Below are 20,542 nucleotides of genomic sequence, written 5' to 3'. Positions count from 1 at the left end.
GATAAATATGCGAAAATATTAAGATTTTGTGGGGGTATAAAGGTAATGGTTACTATTCTATGTATTTGAAATACAGAAGAGGAAGGAAGAAGAGAATGAAGGTTACTTAGATAATTATTGGAGATGGAATAATTATCTGAACAGATTATCAAAGATCCCTTGAAGCAAGAAGAAAGAGCACACAATAATATGAAATCATGCTGTGGAAGATTCTAGGTTCTTTGAGAAGGAAGGAAGGAAGGTTGTTGAAGTACTTAATAAAAAGTCAGAAGAAGGAAATGAATATTTATTGGATGGTTCTTACGTGGTTGACACTATCTCATACAATATTTTACTCAACCTATAAAGAACCCAGCAAGGTGTAATACATAGCTTTTGGGATAATAATACATTATCTCAAATTTACAGACGAGCAAATCAGAGCTCAGAGGGGTGGCCCAGGGTAAGTACACAGAGGAAGCCGACTTTGAGTCCAGGTCTTCTTGACTCAAGAGAGCTTTGCACTATTCGATTCTATGTGTGCCTCCTAAGGAGAAGAGAACACAAAGAGAAGAGATTAGAGGAGACAGCATTTCTCTTTAATGATACTTCGTATTTACGGTAACTGAGGGGTTCAAAGAATTCTAGAGCCATCACGAATTAATTCTCATAAATTATGCTGACTGTATATGAGAACCTTTACGAAACATGAAGTTTCATCATGATCAAGCAATTTCCCCTCGATTAGGACATTAGTTGCAATGTGTGGAATATAATTCTGTTTTTGTTTAGCAGAATAAAATAATCACACTGATCACATCTGCCTTTTGGGGGAATCTTGATCTTGTTTTTTTCTTTGAACCATGATTCATTTCATTTTGAACCAATGAATGAATGAAAAAGACATTTGTCGAGCACTTTTCTGTGCTGTGCTAAATGCCTTCTTACACATGACCTCATGCAATCATCACAGCAATTGTTTGAGGGTTTTTTTTTATCACCCCCATTTTATAGATGAAGCAATGAAGGCTCGGAAGTCAGAAGAGACTTACTCAGAGTGACCCAGCAAGGGGTGCACATGCTGTTTCCAACTCAGGCCTATCTGGCTTTTTCATGTTATGCTTTTGGACAATTGTTAACCAACCATTCTTAGGATAAGACCTTAAGCTGACTTTGAAATACTTGTAAATTCTTAGGGGCTGCAAAGCTCTCCTTTGTGAGGAGAAACCAAGTGAGAGCCACACTGCCTGCTGCTCATTGAAGGCTTCCAACAAGCGCTTTGCACGCTGCCCACATATTTTGCTGGCATTGCCCCTTCTTGATGAACCATCGCCTGCTGCTTTAGAAGCCAGGCTTAAGCAATAGTGGAATTATTCATATTATTACTATTGTAATGGTAGTCATTTCAAGCATGAATTCAAAATGTTTACTTTTATTGAAGTAATAGTGGTACATAGTTAAATGTTTCCAAAAGGCTTAAAACGTTCATAATCAAAGAGAACAGTCCCTTGCCTATCTTCCCTCCACAGTCCTGTTCCCAGAAGGAACTGCTGTAACCTTCTGGTTGTGCCTTCAGCAATATAGCTCCACGTTTAAAAATAATTTGCAAACCTGCATTCTTTTGATCCATAAATTTTAGACAGAATGCACTGAGGTTCAATAGTGGTAGACAAGGATTTAGCTCTGTTATCATCCCTCCCATCCTTCCATCTTCCTAATATTTTTTCTTTCTTTTTGAGATGGAGTCTCACTCTGTTGCCCAGGCTGGAGTGCAGTGGCACGATCTTGGCTCACTGCAACCTCTGCCTCCTGGGTTCAAGCAATTCTCTGCCTCAGCCTCCCGAGTAGCTGGGATTACAGGTGCCCACCACCATGCCCGGCTAATTTTTGTATTTTTAGTAGAGACGGGGTTTCACCATGTTGACCAGGCTGGTCTTGAACTCCTGACCTCGTGATCCACCCGCCTTGGCCTCCTAAAGTGCTGGGATTACAGGCATGAGCCACTGTACTCGGCCAATTTATTTTATTTTATTTTATTATTATTATTATACTTTAAGTTTTAGGATACATGTGCACAACATGCAGGTTTGTTACATATGTATACATGTGCCATGTTGGTGTGCTGCACCCATTAACTCGTCATTTAGCATTAGGTATATCTCCCAATGCTATCCCTCCCCCCTCCCCCAACCCCACAACAGTCACTGAAGTGTGATGTTCCCCTTCCTGTGTCCATGTGTTCTCATTGTTCAATTCCCACCTATGAGTGAGAACATGCAGTGTTTGGTTTTTTGTCCTTGTGATAGTTTGCTGAGAATGATGGTTTCCAGTTTCATCCATGTCCCTACAAAGGACATGAACTCTTCATTTTTTATGGCTGGTAGTATTCCATGGTGTATGTGTGCCACATTTTCTTAATCCAGTCTACCGTTGTTGGACATTTGGGTTGGTTCCAAGTCTTTGCTATTGTGAATAGTGCCGCAATAAACATACGTGTGCATGTGTCTTTATAGCAGCATGATTTATAATCCTTTGGGTATATACCCAGTAATGGGATGGCTGGGTCAAATGGTATTTCTAGTTCGAGATCCCTGAGGAATCGCCGCACTGACTTCCACAATGGCTGAACTAGTTTACAGTCCCACCAACAGTGTAAAAGTGTACCTGTTTCTCCACATCCTCTCCAGCACCTGTTGTTTCCTGACTTTTTAATGATCGCCATTCTAACTGGTGTGAGCTGGTATCTCACTGTGGTTTTGATTTGCATTTCTCTGATGGCCAGTGATGATGAGCATTTTTTCATGTGTCTTTTGGCTGCATAAATGTCTTCTTTTGAGAAGTGTCTGTTCATATCCTTCGCCCATTTTTTGATGGGGTTGTTTGTTTTTTTCTTGTAAATTTGTTTGAGTTCATTGTAGATTCTGGATATTAGCCCTTTGTTAGATGAGTAGGTTGGGAAAATTTTCTCCCATTTTGTAGGTTGCCTGTTCACTCTGATGGTAGTTTCTTTTGCTGTGCAGAAGCTCTTTAGTTTAATTAGATCCCATTTGTCAATTTTGGCTTTTGTTGCCATTGCTTTTGGTGTTTTAGACATGAAGTCCTTGCCCATGCCTATGTCCTGAATGGTATTGCCTAGGTTTTCTTCTAGGGTTTTTATGGTTTTCGGTCTAACATTTAAGTCTTTAATCCATCTTGAATTAATTTTTGTATAAGGTGTAAGGAAGGGATCCAGTTTCAGCTTTCTACATATGGCTAGCCAGTTTTCCCAGCACCATTTATTAAATAGGGAATCCTTTCCCAATTTCTTGTTATTGTCAGGTTTGTCAAAGATCAGATGGTTGTAGATATGAGGCATTATCTCTGAGGGCTCTGTTCTGTTCCATTGATCTATATCTCTGTTTTAGTACCAGTACCATGCTGTTTTGGTTACTGTAGCCTTCTAGTATAGTTTGAAGTCAGGTAGCGTGATGCCTCCAGCTTTGTTCTTTTGGCTTAGGATTGACTTGGCAATGCGGGCTCTTTTTTGGTTCCACATGAACTTTAAAGTAGTTTTTTCCAATTCTGTGAAGAAAGTCATTGGTAGCTTGATGGGGATGGCATTGAATCTATAAATTACCTTGGGCAGTATGGCCATTTTCACGATATTGATTCTTCCTACCCATGAGCATGGAATGTTCTTCCATTTGTTGGTATCCTCTTTTATTTCATTGAGCAGTGGTTTGTAGTTCTCCTTGAAGAGGTCCTTCACATCCCTTGTAAATTGGATTCCTAGGTATTTTATTCTCTTTGAAGCAATTGTGAATGGGAGTTCACTCATGATTTGGCTCTCTGTTTGTCTGTTATTGGTGTATAAGAATGCTTGTGATTTTTGTACATTGATTTTGTATCCTGAGACTTTGCTGAAGTTGCTTATCAGCTTAAGGAGATTTTGGGCTGAGACGATGGGGATTTCTAAATATACAATTATGTTATCTGCAAACAGGGACAATTTGACTTCCTCTTTTCCTAATTGAATGCCCTTTATTTCCTTCTCCTGCCTAATTGCCCTGGCCAGAACTTCCAACACTATGTTGAATAGGAGTGGTGAGAGAGGGCATCCCTGTCTTGTGCCAGTTTTCAAAGGGAATGCTTCCAGTTTTTGCCCATTAAGTATGATATTGGCTGTGGGTTTGTCATAGATAGCTCTTATTATTTTGAGATACATCCCATCAATACCTAATTTATTGAGAGTTTTTAGCATGAAGGGCTGTTGAATTTTGTCAAAGGCCTTTTCTGCATCTATTGAGATAATCATGTGGTTTTTGTCTTTGGTTCTGTTTATATGCTGGATTACATTTATTGATTTGTGTATGTTGAACCAGCCTTGCATCCCAGGGATAAAGCCCACTTGATCATGGTGGATAAGCTTTTTGATGTGCTGCTGGATTCGGTTTGCCAGTATTTTATTGAGGATTTTTGCATCGATGTTCATCAGGGATATTGGTCTAAAATTCTCTTTTTTTGTTGTGTCTCTGCCAGGCTTTGGTATCAGAATGATGCTGGCCTCATAAAATGAGTTAGGGAGGATTCCCTCTTTTTCTATTGATTGGAATAGTTTCAGAAGGAATGGTACCAGCTCCTCCTTGTACCTCTGGTAGAATTCGGCTGTGAATCCATCTGGTCCTGGACTTTTTTTGGTTGGTAAGCTATTGATTATTGCCACAATATCAGAGCCTGTTATTAGTCTATTCAGAGATTCAACTTCTTCCTGGTTTAGTCTTGGGAGGGTGTATGTGTCGAGGAATTCATCCATTTCTTCTAGATTTTCTAGTTTATTTGTGTAGAGGTGTTTGTAGTATTCTCTGATGGTAGTTTGTATTTCTGTGGGATCGGTGGTGATATCCCCTTTATCATTTTTCATTGCATCTATTTGATTCTTCTCTCTTTTCTTCTTTATTAGTCTTGCTAGCGGTCTATCGATTTTGTTGATCTTTTCAAAAAACCAGCTCCTGGATTCATTAATTTTTTGGAGGGTTTTTTGTGTCTCTATTTCCTTCAGTTCTGCTCTGATTTTAGTTATTTCTTGCCTTCGGCTAGCTTTTGAATGTGTTTGCTCTTGCTTGTCTAGTTCTTTTAATTGTGATGTTAGGGTGTCAAATTTGGATCTTTCCTGCTTTCTCTTGTGGGCATTTAGTGCTATAAATTTCCCTCTACACACTGCTTTGAATGTGTCCCAGAGATTCTGGTATGTTGTGTCTTTGTTCTCGTTGGTTTCAAAGAACATCTTTATTTCTGCCTTCATTTCGTTATGTATCCAGTAGTCATTCAGGAGCAGGTTGTTCAGTTTCCATGTAGTTGAGCAGTTTTGAGTGAGTTTCTTAGTCTTGAGTTCTAGTTTGATTGCACTGGGGTCTGAGAGACGGTTTGTTATAATTTCTATTCTTTTACATTTGCTGAGGAGTGCTTTACTTCCAACTATGTGGTCAGTTTTGGAATAGGTGTGGTGTGGTGCTGAAAAAAATGTGTATTCTGTTGATTTGGGGTGGAGAGTTCTCTAGATGTCTGTTAGGTCCGCTTGGTGCAGAGCTGAGTTCAATTCCTGGGTATCCTTGTTAACTTTCTGTCTTGTTGATCTGTCTAATGTTGACAGTGGGGTGTTAAAGTCTCCCATTATTATTGTGTGGGAGTCTAAGTCTCTTTGTAGGTCACTCAGGACTTGCTTTATGAATCTGGGTGCTCCTGTATTGGGTGCATACATATTTAGGATAGTTAGCTCTTCTTGTTGAATTGATCCCTTTACCATTATGTAATGGCCTTCTTTGTCTCTTTTGATCTTTGTTGGTTTAAAGTCTGTTTTATCAGAGACTAGGATTGCAAGCCCTGCCTTTTTTTGTTTTCCATTTGCTTGGTAGATCTTCCTCCATCCCTTTATTTTGAGCCTATGCGTGTCTCTGCACATGAGATGGGTTTCCTGAATACAGCACACTGATGGGTCTTGACTCTTTATCCAATTTGCCAGTCTGTGTCTTTTAAATGGAGCATTTAGCCCATTTACATTTAAAGTTAATATTGTTATGTGTGTATTTGATCCTGTCATTATGATGTTAGCTGGTTATTTTGCTCATTAGTTGATGCAGTTTCTTCCTAGCCTTGATGGTCTTTACATTTTGGTATGTTTTTGCAGTGGCTGGTACCGGTTGTTCCTCTCCATGTTTAGTGCTTCCTTTAGGAGCTCTTTTAGGGCAGGCCTGGTGATGACAAAATCTCTCAGCATTTGCTTGTCTGTAAAGTATTTTATTTCTCCTTCACTTATGAAGCTTAGTTTGGCTGGATATGAAATTCTGGGTTGAAAATTCTTTTCTTTAAGAATGTTGAATATTGGCCCCCACTCTCTTCTGGCTTGTAGAGTTTCTGCCGAGAGATCCGCTGTTAGTCTGATGGGCTTCCCTTTGTGGGTAACCCGACCTTTCTCTCTGGCTGCCCTTAACATTTTTTCTTTCATTTCAACTTTGGTGAATCTGACAATTATGTGCCTTGGAGTTGCTCTTCTCCAGGAGTATCTTTGTGGCGTTCTCTGTATTTCCTGAATCTGAATGTTGGCCTGCCTTGCTAGGTTGGGGAAGTTCTCCTGGATAATATCCTGCAGAGTGTTTTCCAACTTGTTTCCATTCTCCCCGTCATTTTCAGGTACACCAATCAGACGTAGATTTGGTGTTTTCACATAGTCCCATATTTCTTGGAGGCTTTGTTCGTTTCTTTTTATTCTTTTTTCTCAAAACTTTCCTTCTCGCTTCATTTCATTCATTTCGTCTTCCATCACTGATACTCTTTCTTCCAGTTGATTGCATCGGCTCCTGAGGCTTCTGCATTCTTCACGTAGTTCTTGAGCCTTGGCTTTCAGCTCCATCAGCTCCTTTAAGGACTTCTCTGCATTGGTTATTCTAGTTATCCATTTGTCTAATTTTTTTTCAAAGTTTTTAACTTCTTTGCCATTGGTTTGAATTTCCTCCTGTAGCTCAGAGTAGTTTGATTGTCTGAAGTCTTTTTCTCTCAGCTCGTCAAAGTCATTTTCCATCCAGCTTTGTTCCATTGCTGGTGAGGAGCTGCGTTCCTTTGGAGGAGGAGAGGCGCTCTGCTTTTTAGAGTTTCCAGTTTTTCTGCTCTGTTTTTTTCCCCATCTTTGTGGTTTTATCTACCTTTGGTCTTTGATGATGGTGACGTACAGAAGGGTTTTTGGTGTGAATGTCCTTTCTGTTTGTTAGTTTTCCTTCTAACAGACAGGACCCTCAGCTGCAGGTCTGTTGGATTTTGCTAGAGGTCCACTCCAGACACTGTTTGCCTGGGTATCAGCAGTGGTGGCTGTAGAACAGCGGATCTTGGTGAACCGCAAATGCTGCTGCCTGATCATTCCTCTGGAAGTTTTGTCTCAGAGGAGTACCCGGCCATGTGAGGTGTCAGTCTTCCCCTACTGGGGGGTGCCTCCCAGTTAGGCTGCTCGGGGGTCAAGGACCCACTTGAGGAGGCAGTCTGCCTGTTCTCAGATCTCCAGCTGCATGCTGGGAGAACCACTGCTCTCTTCAAAGCTGTCAGACAGGGACATTTAAGTCTGCAGAGGTTACTGCTGTCTTTTAGTTTGTCTGTGCCCTGCCCCCAGAGGTGGAGCCTACACAGGCAGGCAGGCCTCCTTGAGCTGTGGTGGGCTCCATCCAGTTGAAGCTTCCCGGCTGCTTTGTTTACCTAATCAAGCCTGGGCAATGGTGGGCACCCCTCCCCCAGCCTTGCTGCTGCCTTGCAGTTTGATCTCAGAGTGCTGTGCTAGCAATCAGCGAGACTCTGTGGGCGTAGGACCCTCCGAGCCAGGTGCGGGATATAATCTCCTGGTGTGCCGTTTTTTAAGCCTGTTGGAAAAGCGCAGTATTAGGGTGGGAGTGACCTGATTTTCCAGGTGCCGTCTGTCACCCCTTTCTTTGACTAGGAAAGGGAACTCCCTGACCCCTTGCGCTTCCCAAGTGAGGCAATGCTTCACCCTGCTTCAGCTCGTGATGGTGCGCTGCACCTGCTGTCCTGCACCCACTGTCTGGCACTCCCTAGTGAGATGAACCCGATACCTCAGATGGAAATGCAGAAATCACCCGTCTTCCATGTCACTCAGGCTGGGAGCTGTAGACCAGAGCTCTTCATATTCGGCCATCTTGGCTCCACCTACCCAATTTTTTATATGTAAGTTTTGTTGAGAAATAATTCACATACTATGCAACTCACCCTTTTGAAGTCTACAATTCAGTGGTTTTTAGTATATTCACAGAGATATACAACTATCACCACTTCCAGTTTTAGATCATTTTCATCACCCCAACAAGAAACATTGTACCCCTTAGCAGTCACTCCCCATTCTTCCCTCCTTTCAGCCCTAGGCACCCACTCATCTACTTTCAGTCTCCATGGATTTGCCTGTTCTGGACTTTTCATATAAATAGAATCAAACAATATGTGGCTCTGTCTGTATGGCTTCTTTCACTGATCATAACATTTTCAAGGTTCATTCATGTATCAGAATTTTATTCCTTTCTACAACTCAGTAATATTCCATTGCACAGATACACTACATTTTTGTTTATCCATTCATCAGTTGATGAGCATTTGGCTCTGATATGGTTTGGCTGTGTCCCCACCGAAATCTCATCTTGAATTGTAGCTCCCATAATTCCCAGGTGTTGTAGGAGGAACCAGGTGCAAGGTAATTGAATTATGAGGGCGGGTCTTTCCCATGCTGTTGTTGTGATAGTCAATTAGTCTCATGAGACCTGATGGTTTTATAAAGGGGAGTTGCCGGGCACAGCTCTCTCTTGCCTGCTGCCATGTAAGGCGTCCCTTTGTTCTTCCTTCGTCTTCCACCATGATTGTGAGGCCTCCCCAGCCATGTGGAGCTGTGAGTCCATTAAATGTTTTTTCTTTTATAAATTATCCAGTGTCAGGTATGTCTTTATTAGCAGTGTGAGAATGAACTAATACAGGCTCATTTCCTCTTTTTGGCTATTTCAAATATTACTGCTATGAACATTTGTGTACGGGTTTTTGTGTGAGCATATGTTTTCAATTCTCTTGGATATATACCTAGGAGTGAAATTGCTGGGTCATACATTAACTATGTTTAACTTTTTGTGGAACTGCCAAACTGTTTTCCACAGCAGCTGTACCATTTTATATTCCAACTTGCAATGAATGAAGGTTCCAATTTCTCCATGTCTTTGCCAGCACTAGTCTGTCTTTTTTTTAAAATCTAATCTTCTCTTGTATATGCAGTGGTATCTCACCATGGTTTTGATTTTCATTTCCTTAATGACAATGATGGTGAGCATCTTTTCATGTGCTTATCGGCCACTTATATATTTCTTTGGAGAAATGTCTATTCATCTCCCTTACTCATTTTTAAATTGGATTACTTGTGTTTTGTTATGAATTGTATGAGTTGTAAGACTTCTTTATATATTCTAGTTACAAGTCCGTTATTAGAGAAATTATTTGTAAATATTTTCTCCCATCCTGTAAATTGTCTTATTCTGTAAATAGCAATTTATAGAATGGGAGAAAATATTTGTAAATAATTTATCTGATAATAATGTTATTTTGTTGTTTCTTGAGGCACACAAGCTTTTAAAATTTTGATGTAATCCAATTTATCTATTTTTTCTTCTGTTGTTTGTGCTTTTGTGTTATATCTTAGAAACCTTGGCTTAATCCAAGATTGTAAGAGCTTATAATTTTAGCCCTTATATTTAGGTCTATGAACAATTTCCACTTAATTTTTCTTGTATATGGTATTAGGAAGGAGGTCCAAGTTTATTCTCTTATATGTGTATATCCAATTGTCCCAGAACAATTTGTTGTAAACCTTACATAGTTTTACAACAAATTGTTATTACATCCCTATTCAGTATTTACACTCTTATGTATGTGTAAATGTATTCTGTGGTGAGCCAAACAGTATAGTTATTGTTTCCTTTCTTGTAAAAAAAAAAACAAAACAAAACCCACAAATCTTGCTTTTCCAAGAGTTAACAATAGCCTCATTGCCTCATTTTAATTGTTGCTGTTTCTTTAATTTCCTTGAACTTATGCCTGTATCTTTCCATATTCTCCAATAATCTCTCCTTTCACAAGGGCAAACCTATCAGTTGATGTATCATTTCCCAATTTCTTCTGGAGACATTCCTTTGGGGTGTCTGTTTCCCTGCACCAATCTACACTTCTTGCTCCTAAGAATAATTCCTACTCAAACTCTCTGCAGAACTCTGATTGCTTAGACACATAATCTCCTTGTCGCGTTTGTTAGTTAGTTTGCTTGTTTTTTGTTGGAGATGCTCCTTGAGCCCTCACTCCTCTTGTTCCTGTCTATGTTGGCTAGGACATCTCTTCAATGAGTCTCAGAATTACCATTGCCTCTCTCTTGTCTGTTGGTTCCTGGATCTAGTTTCTCCTCTGTTTTAATTTACTCCCTCATTTTGCTGGACTACAGACTCCGGGAACTTTCTGAGAAAATGCACAGGAAATTGTTATTTTTTACTTTATGTGATTCTTTATTTCTGCCCTCACATAAGTAGTTTGGCTGGGATTAGAATTCAAGTTTAGAAATCCTCTTCACTCAGCACTTTAAAGGCATTCTTCCACTGCCTTCTGGCTTTCAGTGCTGCTTTTGAGAAATCTGTGCCATTCTGATGTGTGGTCTGAGTCCTTGGTATCTGCTCCATTTCATCTCTCCAAAAGTTTTTTTTTTTTTTTGAGACGGAGTCTCGCTCTGTCGCCCAGGCTGGAGTGCAGTGGCTGATCTTAGCTCACTGCAAGCTCCGCCTCCCGGGTTCACGCCATTCTCCTGCCTCGGCCTCCCAGGTAGCTGGGACTACAGGGGCCCGCCACCACCCCCAGCTAAATTTTTTGTATTTTTAGTAGAGGCGGGGTTTCACCGTGTTAGCCAGGATGGTCTCAATCTCCCGACCTTGTGATCCGCCCGCCTCGGCCTCCCAAAGTGCTGGGATTATAGGTGTGAGCCACTGCGCCTGGCCCTTCATCTCTCCAAAAGTTGTTATGACCCGATATTCTGAACTTTCATTATAAAATGTATTGTTGTGAATTTGGTGTATATTGTGCTGAATACCTAATGACTCCTTTCATTCAGGGACCAATGTGTTTTATTATTATTTAATTAATTTATTTATTTATTTTGAGACAGAGTCTTGCTCTGTTGCCCAGGCTGTAGTGTAACTGTATGATGTCACCTCACTGCAACCTCCGCCTCCCAGGTTCAAGAAATTCTCCTGCCTCAGCCTCCTGAGTAGCTGGGATTACAGGCCCACACCACCATGCCAGGCTAATTTTTTTTTTTTGTATTTTTAGTAGAGATAGGGTTTCACCATGTTGGCTAGGCTGGTCTCGAACTCCTGACCTCAGGTGAACCACCCGCCTCAGCCTCCCAAAGTGCTGGGATTATAGACGCGAGCCACCACGCCCAGCTGACCAATGTGTTTTAGTTTGAGGAAATTTCTTTATGTTACTTCTCTAATAATTTCCTCCTCACTCTTTTCTCTTTGTAGAATTTCTGTTATCCAGATGTTGGACATCCCAGATGATCTCTTACATTTCTTACTCTTCTTCTCTTCTTGTCCATCTTTATCTCTTCATTTTCCTTTTAGAGGGATTTCTTCAACTTTATCTTCCAGTCCTTCCACTGATATGAAACACATTTTTTTTTTTTTAGACGGAGTTTTGCTCTTGTTGCCGAGGTTGGAGGGCAGTGGTGCACTCTCGGCTCACTGCAACCTCCGCCTCCCAGGTTCAAGCAATTCTCCTGCCTCAGCCTCCCAAGTAGCTGGGATTACAGGCATACACCACCACGCCAAGCTCATTTTTTTGTACTTTTAGTAGAGACGAGGTTTCTCCATGTTGGTCAGGCTGGTTGCAAACTCCTGACCTCAGGTGATCCACTCACCTCGGCATCCCAAAGTGCTGGGATTACAGGCGTGAGCCACCGCGCCCAGACTATTAAACACATTTTTAGGCTATTTTTAATTCCCAAGAGTTGAAATCTTTCTTGTTTCTCTATGTCTGTTTTAAAAGATTAAATTTCTGTTCTTGTTTTGTGGATACAATATCTTTTCTCATCTCTCCAAGGATATTAACATGTTATATCTTCATGTTAAAATTGACTTATTTCCTCATTTCCTCTAACCTGTAAGGTTGAAGTTACTTCTATAACATAGCTGGCCCAGAGAACAATGCTACCTCCAAAAAGCAGACAATCAAAAGAAAGATTGTTATCCAACTGTTTTAATTGCACCCTTACTAATAGATCAGATGTATTTGGATGATGTTTTTCTTTTTTTTTTTTTCTTGGTTAGCTTTTAGCTTCATGTTTTCATGTGGAAACATTTCCTCAAATGTCCAGCAACCCTCAGATCTCATATTTAAGAGTGAGACACAGAAAAACTGAATGGAAGGGGGTGTGTGTGTGTGTGTGTGTGTGCACATGCTTGCACCTGCGTGCGTGCATGCTAGGGTGGGGTAGGCCTGGGAGTAGGAGTTGTGGATGGTTGGGCCTCACCACAGTGTAATCAGGTGGCAAGCTATTTTTTGTGGGGGATGTGGGGGGAAGAGCAAAATACCTATATCTACACTTTTTGCTAGAGTGGCTGAATTTCCCAGTAAAGAACCATCTAGTCTCCTGTGAAGAACAGCAGGGAGTAGCTAGAGAGTTCTGCTAAAACAGTGCTCATTGGGAAGTTTGAAAAAACACAAATAGATCCTCAGGTGCCCCCTTGCCCCTATCCACCCGGTTGACAGGGGCTCCGGACTCTAGGATACCACACACAGGGGAAGGTGGGGGTAATTGATTAAAATCTGTACACTGCATGATTACAAGCCCCACCCCCATTTCCTGAGCAGTTCTCAGAACAGCAGCAGCCAGATGGCTCACAGCTCCCTGACTCCCCGCCACCTCTGGCATTCGGTTCCTGGGTCCTTCCCAATGCTCTGCAGGGAAGCAGGGCTATTTCGCACCACTATCCCCTTCCAAGTCTCACCTTTCTCCACACTGCTAAGGAACCAACACTCCTCTCTGCATTATCAGGCTTCATATATTAAGGTTTGGGGTTTCAGAAATCTCTTGACTTTATGAAAGATGGGATTTGTGTTTCCAATTTTTATTTTCCTTTGTTCGTTTCTGGGTAATTTTCAAGAGGAGAAGGAGGTAGGAATGTATTTTAGTTTACCATCTTAAAACAGGAAATTCCCTGCCGAATTGTTTTCTAGTGTTTCCTAAAGTGAGGAGACTGGCAAAAGAGAATAGAGGCCCAATGGAAGAAAATCAGTATACAAAAAGCTGTGAATTTTCTGGTGTCTATTTTCAAGACTATGTTAGCATAAGTGACAGTCACACAACCAGTGTAATGAGTAAATACAGGATTTTATCCTCCTGGGAGAGCAGTCTAGCACATTTCACAAATCTTTCTTGAATCAGAAATCACTCTGAACTACAGGTGAAAATGCCACTGGGTTTTCAGTTATCTCGGGCAGAGTTCCACATTGTAGCAAAAAGAGACAGATCTTTCTGAGTCTTTTGAGTCGCAAACAAACTCCTGAAAACTGATGACATCTGAAACATAGAATGAAGTACTTGGAAGGTCAGATAGTATTATAGACAGGAAAACCTCAAAAGCTAGAGTTTAAAATGACTGTCCCAAATAATCAATAAAACTTGGCAAACAAACTGGCAAGGAGAAAGAGGCTGTGTAATTCAACAAAGCATTTAGACAAGCAGGGCTGCTTTATGGCTTTCTGGCATGCAGAATCCATTCAAGTGCCAGCTTTCTCTACAGGTTTGAGAATTATTTCTCTTGGTATAATAGTTTGAGTTTCCAAAGTAGTCCAGATGGTAGCATAATGTGTCTCCAAATATCATCCACTTAAAACCATGGATTATAGTTATTATTTAATTAGGGTATTGGTTAGCCTCATACATTCATTTCAGAGATAATATTTGCAGGCTTCATCGAGATAATCTCACCTACTTAGTAAACCTTGCAGTTCCCTTGCCTATTTACAGACTTTTTGTACTAAGAAATGTGTGTGAGCTTCAGACTCATGCCAGTAAAAGTGACTTTTGCAGCTTTGTCCCCATCAGAACAGATCCGTGATGTCACTTCCTAAGTTAGTCAAGACGTCTCTAGGGATTCTATGTGCTTTACGAGGAAATTGTCCAAAGGCAGAATTATATATATATGGTGTGTGTGTGTATGTGTGTGTATTTATATATATGTGTGTGTGTGATCCAGAAAGATCTGTCTCTTTTTGCGGCAATATGGAACTCTGCCCGAGATAACTGAAAACCCAGTGGCATTTTCACCTGCAGTTCAGAGTGATTTCTGATTCAAGGAAGATTTGTCGAATGTGCTTGACTGCTCTCCAAGGAGGATAAAATCCTGTATTTACTCATTTTACTGGTTGTGTGACTGTCATAGTCTAAAAACTAAATTTTCTATAGGAATGCCATAAACATAACTTGACCCATGAGATAAACACTTTACATATGATGCAGCCAGGGTGCTGAGCTATGTTGAGATACTGGATGGCAGATGCTACACAATTTGGATTTGGAAGAAGGTTAGAATGATTATACTTCCATAACATAGCTGGCCCAGAGAAAAATTCTACCTCTAAAAAGTATCTAACCAAAAGGGAAGAATGTTTATCCAACTGTTTTTAATTGTATCCTTAAGAATATATCAGACACCTCTGGGTGATATTTTTCTTTTCTGTCTTTCTATATTTCCACATATTATATAATGTCTATGTATTTCCTTCATAATTGCATTAGGATAATGAATTCTGCTTTGAATCCCTTATAATTCAAAAGATATCAATGAATTTTTGGGAATTTACAACAGTAAATATTTCTGATACACTCACAGAGAGTAAAACAAATGATCATCATCTAGTTAAAAATAACAAGAAGTTCCTCTGATGTTTAACTTAGTCATTCTACCCTCAATTATGTGATGATTTCCTAAAGGTAAATATTAGAAACCTCATCTTCTCTCCAGACACTTATGAAAGAGAAAATCACATACTCTATAGAACATACACTGCCCCACCTTCATAAGAAAATCAAATGTTCTCCTTTAACCAGAGTCTTTCATCTTTCAGATCATATTTTGAGGGTCAGATTCTGAACTGTATCTTGGAATTTCCCCTGACCCTTTTCTTGGTGAGATTCCAAATTGGCAGGAAAGATTTTGTTTGTTAACCACCAAGTAATTATTTCTTCATAAGGCTCACGAGAGAAGGAATGTCTATTCCCCCTTCTTTGGAGAGGCACCTTCAAGAAAGATTCAAACCCATTACACAAGGGATGGAAAAATCCACAGACGCATGAGACTTGAATCTGGCAGGAGCACAAGACGCCTTTGAGATATTAGATTTTCCAGTTGCATTGCCTAGCAGAGTGAGAGCTGCCAAACTTGGAGAGACCAGTATGTTTTTAGTATATGTGAATACCGTATTGTTCACAGGATTGACCAAGGCTGGGGAAGTCCTATGTTGCAGATGAAAGAATATCTTGTGAAATATTTAGGTCTTGGACCAATTGCTGTAGATTGTATATAAAATTTTGGGAAAAAATCCCTAAATACAATTAGAGCTCTGTGCCTTTGACATGAACCTATCAAAATCTGCTACTCTGAATCCTCTTAGATATTGTCGGAAAAGAGCACTGTGTTAGGAGTCAGACCTTCAGGCTCTGGTCCCATCTTTGTTGTGTACTGTGTAGCAATGGGTTCTAACTTAGTTTCCTCATCTATAAAATGGGAATAATAATTCCCGGCTACTTAATAAGTTTAATAATCATGAGATGATACATTTAAAAGCATTTCACAAATTATAACATGTTATAAACACATAAGGAATTATTAGTAAACATACTGCATGTGAAAGAATTTTCAATTGTGTCAAAAATCTTATACAAATACTATTATTGTGCCCTTTACTAGTTGTATTATCAAAGCTTGAGAATCCAGAGAGCGTTTCCTACCGCTCTACCTGCTAAAGCCAAGGTAATAAACTCTGTAAAAGGTGTGGTCCTTGGGGACTTGTCCCATGCTGGTTACATCATTGGGGAGCGCCACGTGGCATGGTGGGAAGAATGCCTGACTTGGATCAGGAGACCTCAAGTTGCACCTGAATTTGGTTTGCCAACTCCTTATGTAACCTTTAGGAAGTTGCTGAGCCTTGATTTCTTTGTCTCTAACGAGGGGTTGAAATAGATAACCTCTGCGTTCTTATCCAGTTATAAAATTCTATTATATTATAATTGCCTAAAGTATCAATTGCCTTTCAGGGTTCACTAGAGTGATTCAGTCTTTGTGCCACACATTATATGAGGGGCTGCGAGTGAAACTGTCCTGAGCTACCAAAACACAGGATTAGGGAGAGGTATTTTTGTTTTACTGCCCAGAGTTGACCCGGCACAGCTGGGTGCCCACTAACTATAATAGTAAACAACCTAGGAGCTCTCATAAAATTAATAACCACCAACGGTCCTACCTGCAGGGCTAGCGAGGCATGATTTGTTGTCATGGTGTTCCTAGGGGCAGCTAAAGGATAAACCTATACCAGGGGACCTGACTTCATTGCTTTAAAATTACCACCTGCCTTGGAGGGGAGTTGTAAGCCCTAAATCCCCAGGGAATTGAGGAATTAAATCAACCATTTTTGAAAATTAGATTTTTTTTGAAGCTGTTCATAAGCCAAAGCCATTTAACATAAAAAAATTTGCTTTTTTTTTTTTTTTTTTTTTTCTGAGACAGGGTCTTGCTCTGTCTTCAGGCTGGAGTGCAGTGGCACGATCCTAGCTCACTGTAACCTCTAACTCCTGGGCTCAAGACATCCTCCTGCCTCAGCCTTCTAAGTAGCTGGGATTACAGGCACATGCTACTATATCCAGTTAATTTTTTTTGTATTTTTAGTAGAGACGGAGTTTCACCGTATTGGCCACGCTGGTATCGAACTCCTGACCTCAAGTGATCCGCCTGCCTCGGCCCTACATTTGTAAAACATGTAACTTTGAGCTAGACTTCATTTGGGAGGGTTTAGTACAATAAGGTATTACAAACCAACCTCCCGATCATTTGAATAAGTGAAGTAGATCATTTCACTTTATGAAGTAGAATTGTTGGCATTCACTATCTGAATGCTAAATAGATGATTTTGACTTTGAGGTAACTGATAACACGCTGTTCTTCTAGGAAGGAACCAAGAGTATAAGCAGCTTCTAGAAGCCAGTTCTGCGATACAATAAATTCCTGCCATCAGCACATAAAATGGTGCTTTTGTCTTTTTATCTTGTGTTCAAAAACAGACTGATATACCTCTGATCGGACCTGGGCTAAGTTGATAACATGGAAATGGTAAAGAAGAAACATTTTTTCATTTTATTAATGATAAAGGAATTGACAAAATGACAGATGAGTTGGAGAATTTGGAAGGTGTCAAAGGTTGAGTTAGTATAGAAATTTTCTGGAAGTGTGGAGAAGTGGAGAATCGAGCATTTCCAGTACAATGAGCCTGGTTTTCTAAGTGTGAAGTTTCAGGCATCACAGAGACATTCAAATGCAGATATTCCAGAGGAGAGTTGAGATACGATAAAATAAATACCAAACATTTCCCCATCTCTGTCTCCTCGGGGTCATTCTGCTGCCATCAACCATCCCACGTGCTTAGAAAAAAGATAAATACTTCAAAGACGCAACATCTTTGCTTTTCCCAGCTACCTCTTCTCAGGCAAATCTTCTTTCTCACTATGCCCACCATAATCCAGTTCAAATAGTTTGTTAAAATGCACCTCCATGCTATGAAGGAAGTTAGACGGTATCACTCTAAAAGTTGAACGAGGCCGGGCACAGTGGCTCATGCCTGTAATCCCAGCACTTTGGGAGGCCGAGGCAGGTGGATCATCTGAGGTCAGGAGTTCAACACCAGCTTGGCCAACATGGCGAAACGCTGTCTCCACTAAAAATACAAAAAATTAGCAGGGCGTGGTGGCATGGGTCTTCAGGCCCAGCTACTCGGGAGGCTGAGACAGGAGAATTGCTTGAACCCAGGAGGTGGAGGTTGCAATGATCTGAGATTGCTCCACTGCACTCCAGCCTGAGCAACAGAGTGAGATTCCATCTCAGAATAAATAAATAAATAAATAAATAAATAAAATAAAATAAAAATTAAAAGTTGAACAATATACTGGATGCTGTGGTATAGTGTTGAGAGCTTAGACTCTGAAGGTGAATGTTTCTTGAATCCTAGCTCTACAGTCTACCAAAGGCATGGCCATGGTCAAGTTAGCCTGGCTGAACCTCAGTTTTCTTCTCTGTAAAATGTGTGTAACAAAAATTCCCCACAGTGATTAAATGAGATAGTTCATGAAAAGTGCGCAGCCTAGGTCCCGGCACATGGTAAACATCCAGTAAATGGGAGCAAGTATATCCCACGAGTTCTACTTGTCCCACACTTAGCCCAGGAGATGCATTCCTGGAAGTGGGAACTGTAAGTAAACCAGCACCGTTAGGGATTGTGGGCAGTATTGCATATTCCCTGTGAAGATGAGTTCTGGAATTATACATCAGCAACCGCTCTTTTGTTCTCTTCAAACCCTTAGAAGTCACTGCGTGCTCAGGCCATGGGCATCTCCAGCCACTATTCATGTACTTGATCATTCCTCCCAGGCTACTTTACGATACCCTTGAAGATTTTACAGGACTTCTAACGATCCTTAATTACCTGCTTATCATTAAGCTCTCTCCACTCCACCATATTTTTCCTCCTCAATATAAAACTTGATTTTAGTTTTGTTTTGTTTTTTGCTTTTTGAGATGGAGTTTTGCTCCTGTTGCCCAGGCTGGAGTGCAATGGCGTGATCTTGGCTCGCTGCAACCTCCACCTTCCAGGTCCAAGCCATTCTCCTGCCTCAGCCTCCCGAGTAGCTGGGATTACAGGCGCCCTCCACCACACCCAGCTAATTTTTGTATTTTTACTAGAGATGGGGTTTCACCACGTTGGCCAGTCTGGTCTCGAGCTCCTGACCTCAGGTGATCCGCCCACTTTGGCTTCCCATATTGCTGGGATTACAGGTGTGAGCCACAGTGCTGGCCTAAAACTTGATTTTTGACATCCAGCTTGAAATGCTTCCATGACACTTTGGAAATAGGTGCAGCACTGACCCCATTTGTGAGCAAATGTGTTCACCAGAACATGAAATATTGGCAGAAGGCAAGATCACAGCCATGTCATGAGCAGATAGGCGAGCACATTTCAAAATAAGGAAATCTCCTTGACGGGCAGAGTGCCATGGAGTCCCTATCGTGTTGTAAGTTACATAGATGTTTGGGGATGGACAGGGATAAGGTGAGTCAGTGTGGTACGAGGGGAGATTGAAAGAGGAGGCTGCCCTCAGCCACGTCCTAAACCAAAGGGTTTCCCCAGAACATGATTCACATTAGAAAAGGACCCCAAATTCAAAAAGGACTGGGAAACCCTGGATAAATAGTAGGGCTCTCAAGATACTAAAGACTGAAAGTAAAGAAACCCTTCTGGCTCTGTTAAACCCATACTTTCCTGAGTATACAGACCACAGAACACTTTTTGGTGCAATAAGTAGAAAACCCGCACCAAATACCCGCTTGCAGGCACTTCCTGCCCCACTGCAATTTGGTCAGATGATTGTCCTTCTCCTGGACCTTGATCCTGATGGTTACAGTCCTTGTAATTAACACACATTACTTCTACCTCTACCTCCAAATGAACTACCATTTTAACCATTTTTTGTTTTCTTGTTAGACCAGAATCCTTTCTCTTTGAGTCTCAGGTATATTCTAATTGTCATCAGTTCCACTAATCTGCATAGCTATGACTTTATAGATATTATTTCTTATGGCAATAGAGCATCGATTTTATTTCTTGGAGCAGTGCTGTCCAGTAGAATTTCCCATGATGACGAAAATGGAAATCTCTCCCCTCTCTCTCTCCGCTGTATCCAGTACTCTAGCACTAGCCATGGGGAACTATTGAGCACTTTATGTGGCTAGTGCAACTGAATCTTAGTAGAATGGATTTTTTTATTTTAATCAATTTGAATTTCGATAGCCACATGTGGGTAATCACTCTCATATTGGAAAATGTAATTGTTGGGAAAACTCCCTGCCAGAACAGAAAACTGCCCTCTTTAAGCAGAGAGCAAGCTCAGACCAAAGAAAGACGTAGACCACTCCGGTCTGGGAGGTCGTCAAAGATTTATTCAGGGGGAACTTACATGTGAGGCAGTCCAGGGTGGCAGCAAGACAAGGCAGATCTTGCAATGCATGCTGTCTGTTCTCTTACACCATGAAAAGAAAAGGGAAAGGGGAAAAAAGTCACTGATGGTGTGTCAAACCTTGTGGCTGTTTTCCTAATCTATTTACTTTCTACTTAAAGGGATTGTTTGAGTTCCCTACAATCTGGACAACATTCCTAAACAGGGCTGTTTCAGGGGGAAGCAGTTATCTTGTTC

General features: G+C 40.8%; 1 long non-coding RNA gene across 1 annotated transcript; it reads right to left on the bottom strand.

Annotated features, from left to right (window-relative positions):
* Window positions 1-272: 272 nt before the first annotated feature.
* On the bottom strand, window positions 273-20,385 carry LOC124907729 (uncharacterized). The gene is made up of 2 exons (XR_007086200.1): window positions 20,306-20,385; window positions 273-526 (listed from the first exon to the last, which is right to left on the bottom strand). It is a non-coding gene; the product is annotated as an uncharacterized LOC124907729 (long non-coding RNA).
* Between the last annotated feature and the right edge of the window lie 157 nt (window positions 20,386-20,542).

This window comes from Homo sapiens, chromosome 2 (assembly GCF_000001405.40).
Source record: "Homo sapiens chromosome 2, GRCh38.p14 Primary Assembly".
NCBI lineage: Eukaryota > Metazoa > Chordata > Mammalia > Primates > Hominidae > Homo > Homo sapiens.
The sequence above is the reverse complement of the archived record's forward strand: the minus strand, read 5'-3'. Positions and strand labels throughout refer to the sequence as shown.